The 17,303-nt window shown below is 45.6% G+C and overlaps 1 protein-coding gene across 4 annotated transcripts in view, besides 7 other annotated features; it reads left to right on the plus strand.

Annotated features, from left to right (window-relative positions):
- Window positions 2,147–3,346: an enhancer, noted in NCBI's record as "CDK7 strongly-dependent group 2 enhancer chr1:167586581-167587780 (GRCh37/hg19 assembly coordinates)". NCBI's record gives its function as "activates an origin of replication core promoter dependent on BRD2, BRD4, P300/CBP, MED14 and CDK7 cofactors, with strong dependence on CDK7, by STARR-seq in HCT116 cells {active_cell/tissue: HCT116}" and the evidence as "EXISTENCE:reporter gene assay evidence [ECO:0000049][PMID:35650434]".
- Window positions 12,864–12,923: an enhancer, noted in NCBI's record as "active region_2043". NCBI's record gives its function as "activates an Ori minimal core promoter by ATAC-STARR-seq in GM12878 lymphoblastoid cells {active_cell/tissue: GM12878}" and the evidence as "EXISTENCE:reporter gene assay evidence [ECO:0000049][PMID:35858748]".
- Window positions 13,004–13,173: an enhancer, noted in NCBI's record as "active region_2044". NCBI's record gives its function as "activates an Ori minimal core promoter by ATAC-STARR-seq in GM12878 lymphoblastoid cells {active_cell/tissue: GM12878}" and the evidence as "EXISTENCE:reporter gene assay evidence [ECO:0000049][PMID:35858748]".
- Window positions 13,184–13,233: an enhancer, noted in NCBI's record as "active region_2045". NCBI's record gives its function as "activates an Ori minimal core promoter by ATAC-STARR-seq in GM12878 lymphoblastoid cells {active_cell/tissue: GM12878}" and the evidence as "EXISTENCE:reporter gene assay evidence [ECO:0000049][PMID:35858748]".
- Window positions 14,892–14,971: a silencer, noted in NCBI's record as "silent region_1531". NCBI's record gives its function as "represses an Ori minimal core promoter by ATAC-STARR-seq in GM12878 lymphoblastoid cells {active_cell/tissue: GM12878}" and the evidence as "EXISTENCE:reporter gene assay evidence [ECO:0000049][PMID:35858748]".
- Window positions 14,992–15,211: a silencer, noted in NCBI's record as "silent region_1532". NCBI's record gives its function as "represses an Ori minimal core promoter by ATAC-STARR-seq in GM12878 lymphoblastoid cells {active_cell/tissue: GM12878}" and the evidence as "EXISTENCE:reporter gene assay evidence [ECO:0000049][PMID:35858748]".
- RCSD1 (RCSD domain containing 1) overlaps window positions 15,035–17,303 on the plus strand; it is a 78,465-nt gene continuing 76,196 nt past the window's right edge. For all 4 annotated transcript variants that reach the window (NR_136519.2, NM_052862.4, NM_001322923.2 and 1 more), the window contains exon 1: window positions 15,035–15,232. Coding sequence is in view for 3 of the 4 variants with exons in the window: in NM_052862.4 (NP_443094.3) it covers window positions 15,227–15,232 (6 nt within the window). In the remaining variant the exon portion in view is untranslated. The remainder of the gene's footprint in view (window positions 15,233–17,303) is intronic.
- Window positions 15,752–15,821: an enhancer, noted in NCBI's record as "active region_2046". NCBI's record gives its function as "activates an Ori minimal core promoter by ATAC-STARR-seq in GM12878 lymphoblastoid cells {active_cell/tissue: GM12878}" and the evidence as "EXISTENCE:reporter gene assay evidence [ECO:0000049][PMID:35858748]".

Raw genomic sequence — 17,303 nt, forward strand, 5'->3', positions numbered from 1 at the left:
TTCTGCAAAAAAAAAGCTATTGAAATTTTGATAGGTATTACATTGAATTTGTAGATAGCTTTGGGGGTATGGCCATTTTAACAACATTAAGTCTTCTGATCCATGAACATAGAGTGTGTTTTTGTTTATTTGTGTCTTTAATTTCTTTCAGGAATGATTTGTAGTTTTCAGTGTATAGGTGTAGTTTTCAGCTTACCTCCTTGATTAAGTTTACTCCTAAGTATTTTACTATTTTTGTTGCTATTGTAAATGGGATTGTTTTCTTAATTTTTTCTTGGATTGTTCATTGTTAGTACATAAAAGCACAACTTTTTTCATGCTAATTTTGTATCATATAACTTTGCTGAATTCATGTAATAACTCTAACTGTGTTTTGGTGTACAATTTTCAGGGCTTTCTACATATAAGATCATGTCATTTGTGAACAGAGATCATTTTACTTCTTCCTTTCTGATTTGTATGCCTTTTATTTCTTTTTCCTGCCTAATTGCTCTGGCTAGGACTTCCAGTACCAAGTTGAATAGAAGTGGTAAGAGGAAGCAAGCTTGCCTTCTTCCTGGTCTTAGAAAGCTTTCAGTTGGCTGGGTGCAGTGGCTCACGCCTATAATCCCAACACTCTGGGAGGCCGAAGTGGGTGGATCATTAGAGGTCAGGAGTTTGAGACCAGCCTGGCCAACATGGTGAAACCCCACCTCTACTAAAAATACAAAAATTAGCCAGGTATGGTGGTGCACACCTGTAATCCCAGCTACTTGGGAGGCTGAGGCAAGAGAATCACTTGAACCCGGGAGGTGGATGTTGCAGTGAGCCAAGATCGTGCCACTGCATTCTGGCCTGGGTGACAGAGTGAGACTATATCTCAAAAAAAGAAAGAAAAAAAAAAAAAAGAAAGCTTTCAGTTTTTCACTGTTGAGTATAATGTTAATTGTGGGCTTTATACAGTTTTGTTTTGTTTTGTTTTGTTTTGTTTTTGTTTTTTGAGATGGAATCTCACTCTGTTGCCCAGGCTGGAGTGCAATGGCATGATATCGGCTCATTGCAACCTCTGCCTCCCGGGTTCGAGTGATTCTCCTGCCTCAGCCTCCCGAGCAACTGGGACTACAGGTGCGTGCCACCACGCCCGGCTTATTTTTGTATTTTTAGTAGAGATGGGGTTTCACAATATTAATCAGGCTGGTCTTGAACTCCTGATCTTGTGATCTGCCCTCCTCAACCTCCCAAAGTGCTGGGATTACAGGCGTGAGCCACCATGCCAGGCCCACTTATAGTTTTACTTTTTAAAATATAGGGCTTTGAGACTGGTTTTAAAATATTAAATTTGGTTGAAACTAGTCACACATTAGAAATGATAGCTCAGGATGACCAACTGGCAACAGAAAAATCTGCATACGTATTTTCTAGATGTGGGCTTATGGAGACATATGGGGCCATACCTGTCTTGTGAGCTACGTTCTCTCATGCTTAGGTTTCAAGCGGGGTGGTTGACAAAACATACCCAGCTCACGTAACTAACGATAAGTCATTTGCCCGGGTGGTCCTTTAAGGCCAACCTTGACGTTTCACACATGTGAGCCTGATTGACCAGTGAATGGAGAACACTCTTCGTGGGTCTGCTGAGGAAGAAGAACTTGGAGAGACTAATCACCATTTTCCTACTAGGTTCTTAATGGCTTTAGAAACTGAGTTTCTCTCTAGACTTTGATGAGAAGCAGAAGAAAAAGCAACCAGGAAAGAACAATATAGTGCTCTGATATGTCTCAGAGCCAACTACCATGAATACCAAAACAGACATTGGCAAGCAAGGATACAGACCTGTGAATTGCAGCTATAAGAAATTAAGAAATACCACCCTGAGCAGGACCAAGTTGAATTTGGAAGCTATGGCTTGTTTTTGTTTTTGTTTTTAAGTGATAAGCTGACTTGAGATAAAAGGAAGGCGAGAAGGCTCATTCCTTCAATTACCAACTGCTTCCTGAACATGAATAAGCATGAATAAGGCATGTAAGTAGGCACTATAGAATACTGAGGAGAAAAGACACACCTATTCATCACTATGATGTGATGTAGAGATAAATACCATGAGAGGGTGAGGAAAGAGAGCTATCGGCAACGCACACTGTTAATGATTTAGGAATTCCTCCTCCTTGAGCAAGCAATCAGATCATCATCCTTAGCTCATCAACAGCTAATATTACAGTCCCTAATGCCCTTTCTTACCATCCCACTTCCTTCTTACCAACCCTAGTTCCAGTTCTGCTCTACCAGCCTTAGGGTAATCATGACCTGGTGCAGGGAAGTGGGAGAAGAGGCACTAGGCAGACAAACAGACCGTGCTGGACAGATAATTCATGAAGCCTTAAACACAGCTGCAGAATTAAAACAGAAATGTCAAGGGAACAAAGTGTTCCAGCTGACTTAACTTCCTGCTGATATGTCTCTGGGGAGGAGGGGTGAGGTCTGGAGTTCTAGTATTGGGGTAGAGGGAGGGCAGGGGGTCTGGTGCCGGTGGGAGCAGGACTTACGTCTTTTCAGGCATGGGTACCCAGGAGTTGAGTTCCCATCTGCAAGGCTGTTGACACTCACTTCCTGAGGCTGGCCATGGTCAGAGGAGTCTCTCAGCTACTGATGTGCCCAACCTACAGAAAAACAGGATGTTAGGTTTCAGATCTGATTGAGCCATGAGATGCAAATTCCTTTTCCACCCCACCCCCACCCCTCTCCCCAACGGCTGCCACCCACACCATTCCCCTTTCTGCGGCAAAGCATTCATCTCCCTGTGTGACTTCCATCAGGGGCTGTCTGCTTCCTTTGCTTCATTGCCGCCTGGCTGTAAGGGGTCAGATTAGTGCTTAACCCATTTCATTATGGTTTCAGATTTATGGTCATTTTGATTAGGAGTTCCTTACCACATTCCTGGGTGACTGATGAGAACTCTCATCAAATTAGAAAAGGAGAACGGTAAAGTCACTTTGCTCTCTGCAAATCACCTATCTGGTAGGATCTTCGAATCCCCAGGCCTCACTTTGGCCCCTTTGCCTACAGGTTATCTATAGGTAATTGGTTGTCAAATCTTTCTTTCCCTTGGTTAGTCTCATCCCATCTCTTTCTCTTTGTTGCCACCTAAAAGCCCTTCCACGTGCAATGAAGGAAACAGAAGCAGAAAATACAAATCAGAAGCCACTGCTCAAGTTCAATTATCTTCAAAATACAGATATCACCCATTTTCGCAGATGCAAACACCAAGCGCAAAACTCTCCCAGAACAACATTCTGAGTGCAGCAGGATCTCCATAAGGAGGCTGAAATGGATTCCAAACTTTGTGCCCACTCAAAGGACGGATGTGCACCCTGTTGGAGCGGGCCCCGCAAACCTGAGGACTGAAGCTGGCTCTGGCAATAGCTCACGTTCTCTTCTACCCCCTCCGCGGGCTCCTGGGGCTGTTTGCTCACAGGATCCTTCCACATAAAGCTCTGCCATCAGCCCCTGCACCGAGCACACCTAAGTCAACGTCTTCTTCCTCTTGCCCCCGAGGCCTTCCTTGACGCTCCATCCTAGTCCTTCCGGCCTTCCTCAGTACCCAGCAACATCCAGTCTTACACTGCTTTAGCACATTTAGTATTTAGCTTGTATTCTGATTCGAAGACTCAAGGATCTATTACTGCCTTTTCAGATAAATGACACTCACAAGGTATGAACTCTATGTTTGCCTCATGGGTCCTAGAGTGGTATTAGGTACACCAAGATGAGAAAAGTCTTTAAAAGTCTCAAAGATTATCACACAGCAGGAAGCAGGCAGTGTAATTATAACATACTCCCAAACCATAAAAATACGGAAGAGACTTCAGCACCAGGAGTTGTGACTTTATACAAGGAGATGATAGTATGTAAACTAGTTGATATGTGGTAATTAGGAAAAAAGGTCAGGTCTTTAACTGCGCTATGGTATACTGTATATTACAACTCCCTATGTTATTACTGCATTTTTAAGTGGGCATGTGAGAAGTGGATGACAAAATGAATTATCTACTTTTTTGCACGGGGCTAGTGTGCACTCATTCATCCAACATGTATTGATTCACCAGATTTGAAGGTGGCACTGATCATAGAACTTTGACTGAGATAGGGTGGAATGTGCCTTAATTAAGCTTAAAGTTTCATAAGAATATAAAGAAAGTAGATGGGGCCGGGCATGGTGGCTCACGCCTGTAATCCTAGCAATTTGGGAGGCTGAGGTGGATGGACCACTTGAGGTCAGGAGTTCGAGACCAGCCTAACCAACATGGTGAAACGCCGTCTCTACTAAAAATACAAAAGTTAGCCAGGCGTGGAGGTGGGTGCCTGTAATCCCAGCTACTGGGGAGGCTGAAGCAGGAGAATCGCTTGAACCTGGGAGGCAGAGGTTGCAGTGAGCCGAGATCATACCATTGCAGTCCAGCCTTGGTAACAGAGCAAGACTCCGTCTCAAAAAACAAAAAAATAGAAAGTAAATGGGCAATTATATAATAATTCTTTCAATGGCAGTAATAGTACAGGTGTTGAATGGCACATAGGAAATATCTCTCTCCCAGGTGGTGGGAGAGTGGGGAAAGGGGTGGTGGTGGTCAGGACCATTTTCCTAGAGAAAGCCTGAACCAAGAACTCTTACTCAAAAATGAATAAAATTCACTTTGCGCAAATCAGGAAATGTATTCCAGGCAGAGGGAAGAGCCAATTCAGGGACCTGAAAGCAGCTCAGGATGCCTGGAGTCTGGAATACTGGCTGTTCTCTGTTGAGAAGAGGCCAGACAGATAAGTGCAGCCATGTCAGGAAGGGATGTGAGTGAGCCATCTAAGAAGTTAGCCTTTATCCTGAATGCTTCTGGGAGCCAGTTACATGTTCTTGAAAGATTATTGCCTGTGGAGCGGAAAATAGATGGGATGGGGGGAGTATGAGTCAAGGCTGGAGGTAAGGAGAACAACTAGAAGATGCAGAGATTAACTAGGACACTGTTTTCATAATCCTGACGTTAAGAGGGCAGTGACAGTGATGGAGGGAGGGGGGATGATGTCAGGGAGCTTCAGAGCTAGAACGGCAGCACCTGATTGCTAAAGATGAAGGATAAATCGAGAGTGACTCCCAGGTTTCTGTCATGAGCAAATGGATGGATACTGAGGCCACTGCAAGAGGGAAAGAGAAACTATCAGGCGGGGACACAGGTTTTCAGTATGTTTTTGCAAATGAGCACTTTGCCAAAGTCAAAAACAAGAACACGTTGTGCAGAAAACTTTTGACATACTTCTCTGCCTGTTATCCATGTAAAAAGACAAAGGGAGATGAGTCATAGGTGGGATTTGGATACTATTATTTCTTATAATCTGTTTAACTTTATTTGTATAGAATTGTTGGAGATAATTGTTTTAAGACCAAGCGGGTAACCTCGAGCTTGGGCAAGCTCCTGCCCACTTCAAGATACTGATTTGAATTAGTGAATGCCCTTAGAGGTAAAACTGCAACATCACTTAACCTTATCAACAATATCCTAAAGAAATTATATCAAAAAAAACCTTCATTTCAGTAAACATCACCGCATTTTCTCGGAGAAATTAGTTCTTTGTTAAGAATGAGAAAAAGGATTATCAATACCAACTGCTCTTTAAAATTCAGATAGGAATTAAAACACTTTAAATTCTGACAATGGTTACTCTTATTTTTTTCAATTTACAATTGTTTTTCCTCCACGAATGATGTTAGGCTTCTCACTCCCTTTTTCTGCATCGCATTGTCCCATCTTTCTGTTTCTCTCTCTTTCTCTCTCTGTGTGTGTGTGTGTGTGTGTGTGTGTGTGTGTGTGTATGTGTGCATATGTTTCTCTCTCTGCCCTTCCCTGCCAGTCTCTTTCTCTCCATCTCTGCTCCACATTTTTCTGAGGGTCAACCTCTTTCTTTGTACTGATATATGTGTCTGATTTTGTCTTCTTATAAGTTTGTATCTATCTGAATCAGTTGAATACCTTCAGCTATAACAAAAAATCATAACTCAGCCAGGCACAGTGGCTCATGCCTGTAATCCCAGCACTTTGAGAGGCCAAGGCAGGAGGATCACTTGAGGTAAGGAATTCGAGACCAGTCTGGCTAACATAGTGAAACCCCGTCTCTACTAAAAATACAAAAATTAGCCAGGCATGGTAGTGGGCGCCTGTAATCCCAGCTACTCGGAGGCTGGGGCAAGAGAATCACTTGGACCCGGGAGGTGGAGGTTGCAGTGAGCCAAGATCGCGACACTGCACTCCAGCCTGGGTGACAGAGCGAGACTCCATCTCAGGGGGCGGGGAGAGGGAAGATCATAACTTGAATGGCTTAAGCCATAAGGAAATGTATTGCTCTGCTGGGAGCAGTGGCTCATGCCTGTAATCCCACCACTTTGGGAGGCTGAGGCAGGCAGATCACAAGGTCAGGAGTTTGAGACCAGCCTGGCCAACATGGTGAAACCCTGTCTCTACTAAAAATACACTAAAAATAGCCAGGCGTGGTGGCTTGCGCCTGTAATCCCAGCCACTCGGGAGGCTGAGGCAGGAGAATTGCTTGAACCCAGGAGGTAGAGATTGCATTGAGCCAAGATCAAGACATTGCACTCCAGCCTGGGCAACAGAGCAAGACTCTGTCTCAGGAAAAAGAGAAAGAAAGAAGGGAAGGGAAGGGGAGGGGAGGGGAGGGGAGAAAGAAAGAAAGGAAAGAAAGAAAGAGAGAGAAAGCAAGCAAGCAAGCAAGCAAGCAAGAAAGAAAGAAAGAAAGAAAGAAAAGAAAGAAAGAAAGAAATGTATTGCTTCACCTAACAAGAAGTCCAGAGGGGGAAGTCATCTCAGGGTTGCTTGATTCAGCACCTCAACAGAGTTATCGGGTTTTTTATTCAATGAACATTCACTAAGCGCCTATTTGCGCCTGGCCTTGATTTGGGCACACAGGAAACACACTGAAAAAAAAGAAACAAAGATATCTGTGTTCATGGAGTTTACATTCTGGCTTTTCGCAGCTTTGCCTCATGGTAGCAAAATAGCTGTTGCAGTTCCAGGCATCATTATAAGGTAAGATAACATCCAATATTTACAGGGCATCTCTTCCTGTGTGCTTCTTTATCAGAAAGGGTAATGCTTTCCCCCTTTTGTCTCATTAGTCAAAATTTCCTCACTTATCCCTCCCTAAAAAATAAAACAATTTCTGGCAAGGGGAATGATATTTCTAAAACTGGCTTAGACGATGCAGGAAATATCTTTTTATTGAACCTTAAAAAACCCACTAACACCAGGCCCCACTCCCTATTGTTCTAGCATGGGGCCCAGGCCCAGATTTTTTCTTTTAAACAGGGTCTCACTCTGTTGCCCACACTGGAGTGCAGTGGCATGATCGTATCTCACTGCAGCCTTGAATTCCTGGCTCAAGAGATCCTCCCACCTCATCCTCCTGAGTAGCTAGGACAGATTTTTTTTTTTTTTTTTAAGAGATGGGGTCTCACTACACTACCCAGACCGGTCTCTACCTCAAGTGATCTTCCTGCCTCAGCCTCCCAAAGTGTTGGAATTACAGGCATGAGCCACTGAATCCAGCCAAGAAAGATTTTTTCCAAAGCTCCCTGGGTCATTCTAATTTACAGCCTGACTTGAAACTGTTGTGCAGGCGCCCTGCATGATATACTTCTTAGGTTTAAGAAGGTTCGAGCTTCCTTGGTAGATTTACCTAATGTCATTCCTAAAACCTGGGATAATGTGTTAGAAGGAGAAGGTTGTGATCTTTTGGGACCTCTCAGTCATCCCCTTGGGTTTTCCATCAACACTGTTTTTTAGCCTCAGTTATTAGACCAGTGTCTTCTCCTAGCCCCATCCCTCATTGGCCCTTCTCTCAGCTGGAGACCACCCAGCCCTTTTCTTAGAGTACCTGAGCTGAGTGCAGTCTCTATCCTCACAGCCACCCTTTCCTCAGTCCAGTCTGTAACTCTTTTGTTTTCTTCTTTTTTAAAAATTAGATCTCTCCCCCCAAATTACGAAAATACATGTGTTTACTATAACCATTGAAACAGCACAAAGTTATTTCTACCAAGAAATATTTGAATAATCTTCCTCTTCCCGTATCCATTCTCTATTACTCGAGAAGATGAGGCTCTCTCTGGGCCTGTCTCTCTCCATGGCCAGTGCCCTCAGGCCCCAGCTTGTCTGTGGATCTCTGTGGTGGGGGTAAGGAGGAGGGGGTGACAAAAAGCTGGCACAGGAGTCAGTCCAGAATCAAAGCAGTGTGAGGGCTCAATTCTTCCCCCTAACTACCTTTTTTCTTAATTTTTAAAATTGAAACAATTTTATTTATTTATTTATTGAGACAGGGTCTCACTCTGTCACCCAGGCTGGAGTGCAGTGGCACGATCACAGTTCACTGCAGCCTTGACCTCCCAGGCTCAAGCAATCCTCCCACCTCAGCCTCCCAAGTTGCTGGGACTACAATTTATAGTATACCACCGTGCCCAGCCAATTTTTTTATTTTTTATAGAGACAGGGTCTTGCCATGTTGCCCAGGCTGGTCTCAAACTCCTGAGCTCAGGCAATCCTCCCACCTTGGCCTCCCAAAGTGCTGAGATTACAGGCATGAGCCACTGTGCCCAGCCTGAAATAATTTTAAACTTTGAGAAAAGTTATAAAGTTAACACAAAGAACTCCCATATAGCCTCCCACCCAGAATTCCTTTCAGTTTTGCCAATTATCCTAATAATTCCTTTAATATGCTTGGCTCAAACAAGCCAACCCAAACCACTCATTTAACCCAGTTATCATGTCTCTCTAGCCTCCTTTAACCAGAACCCTTCCTCAGCCTTTCCTTGACTTTCCTGACATTGACACTTATAAAAACTACAGACCAGTCATTTTGAGGAATGTCTTCCTATTTGGTTTCTCCGGTGTTTCCTCATGATTAGATTCAAGTTATGTCCTTTTGGCCAGAATATTACAGAAGTGATGGTGCATTCTTATTGCATCTCATCATGTGACGTCAATTTGTTTCATTACTGGTGATGTCGACTTTGGTCACTTGATTAATATGATGTCTATTAAAGCTTCTTCTCTGTAAGGTTGCTTTTCTCCTTATTGTAATTAATCAGTGACTTGAGGGAGCTAGTTTAAATTATGTAAAACCTCATTCCTTACCCCACTTCTACCCAATAGATTTAGCACACAACTTTGTTTCTTTCCTAAAATTAATTTAACTATGATGGTTGTTAGATGGAAATTTTCTAACTTTTTTTACACGTTAGTTGGCATTTTCTATGTTTTCTTTTTCTTTTTTTTTTTTTTTTTTTTGAGATGGAGTCTTAGTCTGTCTCCCAGGCTGAATGAAGTACAGTGGGGTGATCTTGGCTCACTGAAACCCCCACCTCCCAGGTTCAAGCTATTTTTCTGCCTCAGACTCCCGAGTAGGTGGGATAATAGGCACACACCACCACACCTGGCTAGCTTTTGTATTTTTAGTAGAGACAGGGTTTCACCATGTTGGTCAGGCTGGTCTGCAACCCACCTGCCTCAACCTCCCAAAATGCTGGGATTACAGGTGTAAGCCACCGCACCCATCCCATTTTCTATGTCTTGAATGTGTCCTCCAAAGTTTATTTGTTGGGAACTTAATTCCCAATGCAACAATATTTTGAGATAGGACCTTTAAGAGATGATTATGAGGGCTCTCCTCTCATGAATGAATTAATGCTGTTGTCTCAGGAGTGAGTTAGTTATCAAAAGAGTGGGTTCCTGATAAAAGGATGAGTTCAGCTCCTTTCCTCCCCTCCTCCCTCTCCCTCTCTCTCTCTCTCTCTCTCTCTCTCATGCTCCCTCACACCAATGCATGCCTTTCTTTCTTTCTTTCTTTCTTTAATGTAGAGACAGAGTCTCAAGATATTTACCAGGCTGGTCATGAACTTCTAGGCTCAAGTGATCCTCCAACCTCAGCCTCCCAAAATTCTGAGATTACAGGCGCCACCATACCCAGCCCATGCAACACTTTTCAACATGATGTAGCAAGAAGGCCCCCACCAGATGTTAATGCTATGCTCTTGGACTTCACAGCCTCCAGGACTATTTGCCAAATAAAAATTTCATTATAAATTACCCAGTCAGTGGTATTCTGTTACAGCAGCATAAAATGGACTAAGACAGCATTATACTGTAAGAAAGAACTTTCTCTTCTACTTATTCACTTAGTTATTTATATCATTGTAGATTCATGAGCTCCCATTTTATTTGAAGAGTTCTAATCCATTGCTTTCATTATTTATTTTGATTTTTACACAATCTCAATATTACTGGCAGGAGCACCTGTAAACTGATTTTTGTATCATTTTAACATCTCCCTCATCACTCTTTGAGTACTTCCTTATTTTCTGCTACAATAAGATGTTCCAGGCTTATCTTGTCCTACCTGCCCTGGCCCTGTAATTAGCCATTTACTCCAAGAAGTCCTGGTTCTATTAATGAAGCACAGTAGTTAGAAACCAAGATCTGGGCTTTATGTGCACCTATTGTTACTGGAGTGTCATCGCTCCCAGGCTTTCTCAGTGCATCAAACCAGGAAATATATGTATGCATGTACACACATTTATATCTACATTTACTTCCATATCTATCTATGTATACTGAAAACCATGACCTCACACCAATACCTCCTATTCCAATGCAACATCCCAGGGTTCATTCTAGCCCTTTTCCTTTGCATATTTGTACATCCCTTCCCCATCAGTGAGGAATCTGGCTCCCGTTGTCCTCAAGGTATCTAAATATCTATTTGCTCAATTTCTCTGTGTAGCCAATTTCCTGATCTCTGCAGGGCTGCTACCCCACAGGCCTAGTCAAAAGCTCTCCTCATGAAGTCCCCAGCCTATGCTGACTGCCTTCTCCACCACTCCAATATCCTCCCGCTGCAGTCCCACTGCTGCTGTGCTGTCTTTCTCCTCAATTTCCTCATCTGCCTTTGGGAAACTTTCCATTGCAGGTTCTTAAAGACATAAAAACACTTCAGACTTTGTGCTTTCATTTCAATGTAATTCAAATTTATTCCTCAATGACAGTTACGGCAAAATGAATTGGGATTTGTGTGTGTGTGTGTGTGTGTTTCATTATATTTTGTTTTGCCAGATTCCCAGAATTTAGGAATGAATGGTATTATGTAAAATGTTATATATATTATGTTTATATTATTTTATATATTTATATTGTATATATTTATATATTATATTAATATAACTATATTATATAGATGATATTTCATGTAATACCATATGAGGTAATTTTTACCTATATATGCATTTACCTATACCATAGTAGGTAGTATTTGTAGTCGTAAAAGAATATTTGCTTCTTGCTCTTCATTTTTAAAATAGATGATCAGCAGTACAGTGTGTCCACTATAAACAGCTGATTGATTAGACCTCTTTGCAATTCTGCTTGAAAGCTAATTAAGTTACTACTTATTGTGGCCTTTCATGATCTTTTCTCCCACTGGGTCCTTATTTCCATGGGAGACCCATCTCTGAAAGACTCTGTCTCTGACTTAAAGGGAAAGATCCTAATTTGCTTCACTTGTTCATTCATTCACGCACATATTCGCCAAATTATTTTTATTTTACTTTATTTTTTTAGAGACAAGGTCTTGTTCTGTTGCCAAGGATAGAGTGCTCACTGCAGCCTTGAACTCCTGGGCTCAAACCATCCTCCACCTCCCAAAGCACTGGGATTACAGGTGTGAGCTACCACCTGGCCTCATTCACTAAATATTTATTGAGGGCCTTCTATATGCCTGGCTCCTCCCCATACCTCCCCATACGCCCCTCCCTTGGCTGAGCTGTATCTCTGGTGTTCTTGTTTTTTTATTTTTTGTTTTTTTTTTTTTTTTTAGATGGAGTCTCACTCTGTTGCCCAGGCTGGAGTGCAGCTGCACGATCTCGGCTCACTGCAACCTCTGCCTTGTGGGTTCAAGCAATTCACTTGCCTGAGCCTCCTAAGTAGCTGGGATTACAGGCACATGCCACCACGCCCAGCTAATTTTTGTATTTTTAGTAGAGACGGGGTTTTGCCATGTTGGCCAGGCTGGTCTCAAACTCCTGACCTCGTGATCCGCCTGCCTCGGCCTCCCAAAGTGCTGGGATTATAGGCGTGAGCTACTGCACCTGGCCTTTTTTTTTTTTTTTGTCGGAGTCTTGGCTCTGTCACCCAGGCTGGAGTGCAGTGGCAAGAATTTGGCTCACTGCAACCTCTGCCCCCCAGGTTCAAGCAATTCTTCTGCCTCAGCCTCCCGCGTAGCTGAGATTACAGGCACACGCCACCATGCCCAGCTAATTTTTGTATTTTTTTAGTAGAGATGGGGTTTCACTATGTTGGCCAGGCTGGTCCCTAACTCCTGACCTTGTGATCCACCTGCCTCACCTCCCAAAGTTCTGGGATTACAGGCATGAGCCCAGCCTGGTGTTTTTATTGTTAGTTACCTGATGACCTCTACTTATTGCGTGGCTGGTTCTGGCTATCAGGATATATGAAGGGGAAGGCCCAGGGTAGACTGAAGGAAGTGGTTCCGTGTTAGCCAGCCAGACCTCCAGAGAGAGAGGGGAACCAACTCCTCGGAAAGTCACTTTCCCTTCCCCTTGGGCTGTTGTTTCCTCCCAGCCCCCAGAGCAGCCAGTTACAATCCCAGATAACCCAGCAAACCTGGGTGTTTATCAGCAGAGTTACTGCTATTCTGGCTCCTGGAGATCTTCTGTAGGGACAGAAGAAGAAGATAAGGGGAGTACACACACCACACCTACTCATGGCTGCCTAAACACAGCTCGGGGCTACCTCTTGGTCCCTCCCTCCCCGTTTTCCACCCCCTCCCTCAGGAGAAGTCCCAGTCTGGGGCCCAAATAGCTCTGGAGCAGCATTAAACTCTGCACTGGGGACCCAGGAGCATGGTGGAGGCCAAGCTTGTTTGCTTTGTGGTCATCTGTTCTCAGCCAAGAGAGGCCTAAGCAGGGCGTGGGGAGCAGCTGCAAGTCACCTTGGGTGACTGATGTTATCTAGGCCTAACGGTTTCCTCTGGGTAAGCACTTCCGCCCTCCTGTTTGTGAAGCCAGAAACCTGTGCTGGGGCAGCCCCATTCTGAGCACAAAGGAGGACTAGGTAGAGGGAGAAAGGAAAAGGCCCTGTGGAGCAGAGTTAGAAGACCTGATAGTAGACTATGCAGTCATCACTACGTCCTGCACCTTTAAAAAGAAAGGAAAGAAGCACGAGCAAAAGTGTGCCTTGCAGGTTACCAGTAAATACCCTTCCTTACTGCCGACTCTGCTCTCGAGTCTTCACCTGAGCAGCCATGTGGCTGGACTGGGAGGGGCCTCACTATTAATTCCTGGGAGTGAGGGCTCTTTTCACTGGGTCCCCGAGTGCCTGTCTCTAAATAAAAGAAATATCAGGCTCTTATTCATCTGAAGCTTGTACATGGGGCTAAGCATGATAAAAACAGCCACTTTTTGCAGAGTGCCTACTACATTGTATAGGTGAGGAAAATGAGAATCAGAGCAGTTAAGTGACTTGTCTAAAAAATACAACTAGAAAGTAGCAGAGCTGGAATTCAGCCCTCAATCTGTCTGTTCCTAAAACCAGGCGTCTTCCTCTATGCTTAGCTAAGCTAAAGAACTAGAAGCCACTCTGGCATTAGGGCTGCCAGTGTTTTAGAAAGTTGGGCCTTAGAAAGTTCTAGGACAGGAAGGAGGCCATATTTCTAAGACTGGTACCCAAAGCAGCAATCTAAGTGCCTGAAAGTGCAAAGATGGTGCCGGGATAACCAGAATCAGGGTAGTCTTTGTAGCAGGAGCAGACTCTCAGCCTTTTTTCTCTACTGTTTCTCCACATGTCTCTTCACAGTGCTCACCATCACCTGTCCCATTGCCCACCTCTGATGGGGCTCCCCTCCCCTGGTTGAGCTGGGGTTGGGCGGGTGAGAATGCTGTGGGATAACCCAGAGGCGTCATATACCCAGCCAATACCCTGGCACTCACAGGTCTCTCAAGGCATTTTCCTGTTTCTCTCTGCCGAAGGGTCTGAAGGGGGCCGGGATCCGGGTAGCAGGGAGTGACCCTGGTGCAGATTCCAGTCCCCGAATCCCTCCCATGCGGTCTCTGCTGCCCAGCCGGGATGGCCCTAAAGGAAGGTTGCTATGCTGGGCCCTATGGGAATCAGATGTTGAGCATCTTGCCCTTTGCTATATTTAACAGGAATGGAGACGAGGCCCTTTAGCAAGCAGCTTGTGGGAGCCAAAATTCCCACAAAACCGAATGCATCAGTCAAAGCAAGGTTTGAAGAAAAGATTTACCACTTCAGGGAGCTTGGAAAACTTTGCGTGGATTCCTGATTTTCCTCCTCCTCCTCCTCCTTCTACTCGTATACAGAAGATAGATGGATAGATGGATAGATAGTGGTTTCCTGGAAGGTGGAGAGGAAAAGAGGTGAGAAGGGAAAGGTGGTCCCGTCGGCGCCACGCTGAGCTCTGAAGCCTCGGTCAGAAGGGCTCCTCTTTTGGTAGAACACAAACGCCTTCCACCAGGGAGGGTCCTCGAACTCCACCCAAGAACTGCAGGGAAACCAGGTATGACAGTAATGCAATTTTAAAAAGAGGGAGAGGAAGAAGGAAAGCAGGAAGGATGGACACAAAAGAAGGAAATCGAAAAGAGAGGAAACAAAAAGAATTAAAGGACCACTCTAATTCTTGAAGGGACAGGAAAAAGAAAGAAGGCGCATTAAGGGAGGGAGACGTTGAGAAGGACTGAGACCGTGGCAAAGCCCAGGGTCCTGAGAAACTTCGCGAGACAGAGGGGCCCGGTGGCTGCCCATCCCCATGTTTGGGCACATGGAGTCGTGGCTCCCGCTCTTGAGTCCTGCCCTGGGAGGGACAGTATCTGTTTAGATTTGCGTCTAAATTTAAACCCTGATCGTCGGCCTCCCTCCCCGCTCCCCACCCTCCCCTCCCCTCCCCTTCCTCCCTCCCTCCCTCCTCCTCCTTCCTCGTTCTCTCGCGCAGGGCCCCCGCGGCCGGGGCAGTCCCGCAGCCGAGCGCAGCCGGGCGCGCGCCACCGCCCACTCGCCCTGTGCCCGCCGCAGCCCGAAACTGGCCACGGCCGGGAGCGGAGGGGACAGCGGGGATCGTGAGCTCCGGCCCGGGCGAGCGGGTGCGTCTGCCGCAGAGTCGGCACCTGAAGGACATGGAGGTAAAGGACCCCGGAGGGAGACGCGGGGCTGAGCGGTGAGCGGTGTATCGGGCGCCCCTTCCCCGGGCGGCTGCCCCTGCCCTGAGCATGGAGCACGCGGCTCATCGCTGCTGCCAACTAGAAGGGCAAATGCCTGCTGTTCCGACGCCTCCTTGACCAACTCCGAAGGATCGTCCCTGGTCCCACCTAGGACACCCGGGTTGGGAGGCTGGGGTTGGTAAGGAAAGATCTCAGAGGGAGAGAAAAGGGCTTTCCTAGAGGCCCGGGTATTTTGGCTAGGAACTTAAATGCTAAAAAAAAAAAAAAAAAAAAAAAAAAAAAAAAGTTAGGTGCAGCCAAGGTTTGTAAATGGGTAAACGTGTCAGCAAAAACTGCAAGAAGGCAGAAGCCCTTCAATCTGAAGAGATGGGTATTGAAAGAGAAACAGAACTGGCAACACGAGGCCAGCACGTCTTCGTGGGTCTGTGGGCTTCCCTTTTCGCTTTCGGAGTGGCATTTTAGAGAGTCCAGTTGTCTTCTTGCTTCTGAAGTCCTTCCTGTGTCTGTCGCATCTTCTTCCATAACTTTCTGAAAGCTCCCCTTACTGGTCAGTCGAATGACATTATTTCTGATAAAACTTAAGACTCCCTTGGACACCCTTGCCTCTGAAGCTGTGTGTATGGAGGTATGCTGGCCACATCTGCAGGCTTTGCCAGAGGGAGGCCCCGCACTTCTCTGCCTGCTGAGAGGAGGTCCGGGGACTTTCCTTGTTCTGTTCCAACCTCAGCAGAGGAGTGGTTGGGTGTATTCCCCACATCCCTCTCTTCTGCACATCTTGAGGCTTCCCTGTGTTTCCTCCTTGAAAATGAGACCTGATATGTAGCCCTAAGTCAATCTTAGTAGGACCTGGGGCTTTTGAGAAGATGCAAATGTTATATAGTTTTAAAGGTGATTCCCACTCATATTCAAAAGGAAACATGTGTTGCTCACTAGACTGTGGTCAGTGCAATCAGGATTCACAGTTAACTCCGCTATCTCTTCCCCGCTCCAGGCTCTGTGCCTGGGCCCTGGTGGTCTTTTTATTTTTTTCTTTTGAGACAGGGTCTCATTCTGTTACCCAGGCTGGAGTGCAGTGGCACAATCTCAGCTCACTGCAACCTCTGCCTCCCAGGCTCAAAGGATCCTCCCACCTCAGCCTCCCAAGTGGCTGGGACTACCAGTGTGTACCACCATGCCTGGCTAGTTTTAAAATTTTTTGTAGAGACAAGTTCTCACTATATTACCCATGCTGGTCTTGAACTCCTGGGCTCAAGTGATCCTCTAAGCCTTGGCCTCCCAAAGTGCTGGATTTGCAGGCATGAGCCACACCACTCCTGGCCCTGGTTGTGTTTTCTAAGCTAGACTCTGTGCTTGCCGGCAAAGCTTCATGACTTCTCTAAAGGGGCAATAAGTTTGTCCTTTAGAGAAGTCAGGGAGCTATATTCAGGCATCCAGCCCAGCCAGTTGTCTTCAAGGAACAGGGAATCACCTTCAAGGAGACTTTATAGACTGCAAGAACCACTGGAGTCTAATATGGACCCTCCACAGAAACATTTGCAAGGCCAGGAAGCTCTGGCAGATTAGGGCTGGCGGTGAGGCACGCACACAGCGAAGCTCAGCAGGTGGTGTGCACACATCCACCCAAAGATCACACAAACACAAAACAACAGGGTTCTCTCTGAGCTGGCCACTGCTTCAGGGCAGAGGAGGGAAATGGCCCAGGCAACACCCAGCTTCTTGGGTTGGGTGAAGTCTCCTTAAGAAATTGTTTTAGAAGTGGCTTCCCTCTTCTGGAAGTGTACAAACTGCCTTAGGCCCCAGGCTGCAGATTCACTATGATGTATGGCCTGTCTAACCTCTTGAAGAAAAGGATTGGAGATAAGAGAAAAGCAACTCTTAGACTTCAAGCAGGTTGCTGCTGGAGGGCCAAATGCAAGTGTCAACTTTGTTCTAGGAAAACAAGGAGGGTCTCCTTCCACAGAGGCAGTTTCTCCCCCCTCAGATGAGGAAGGAATAGTGTATGGCAGAGGCCCTGAAACTATCAGCTGAGCAA

The sequence above is a fragment of the Homo sapiens genome, chromosome 1, assembly GCF_000001405.40.
Source record: "Homo sapiens chromosome 1, GRCh38.p14 Primary Assembly".
Classification (NCBI taxonomy): domain Eukaryota; kingdom Metazoa; phylum Chordata; class Mammalia; order Primates; family Hominidae; genus Homo; species Homo sapiens.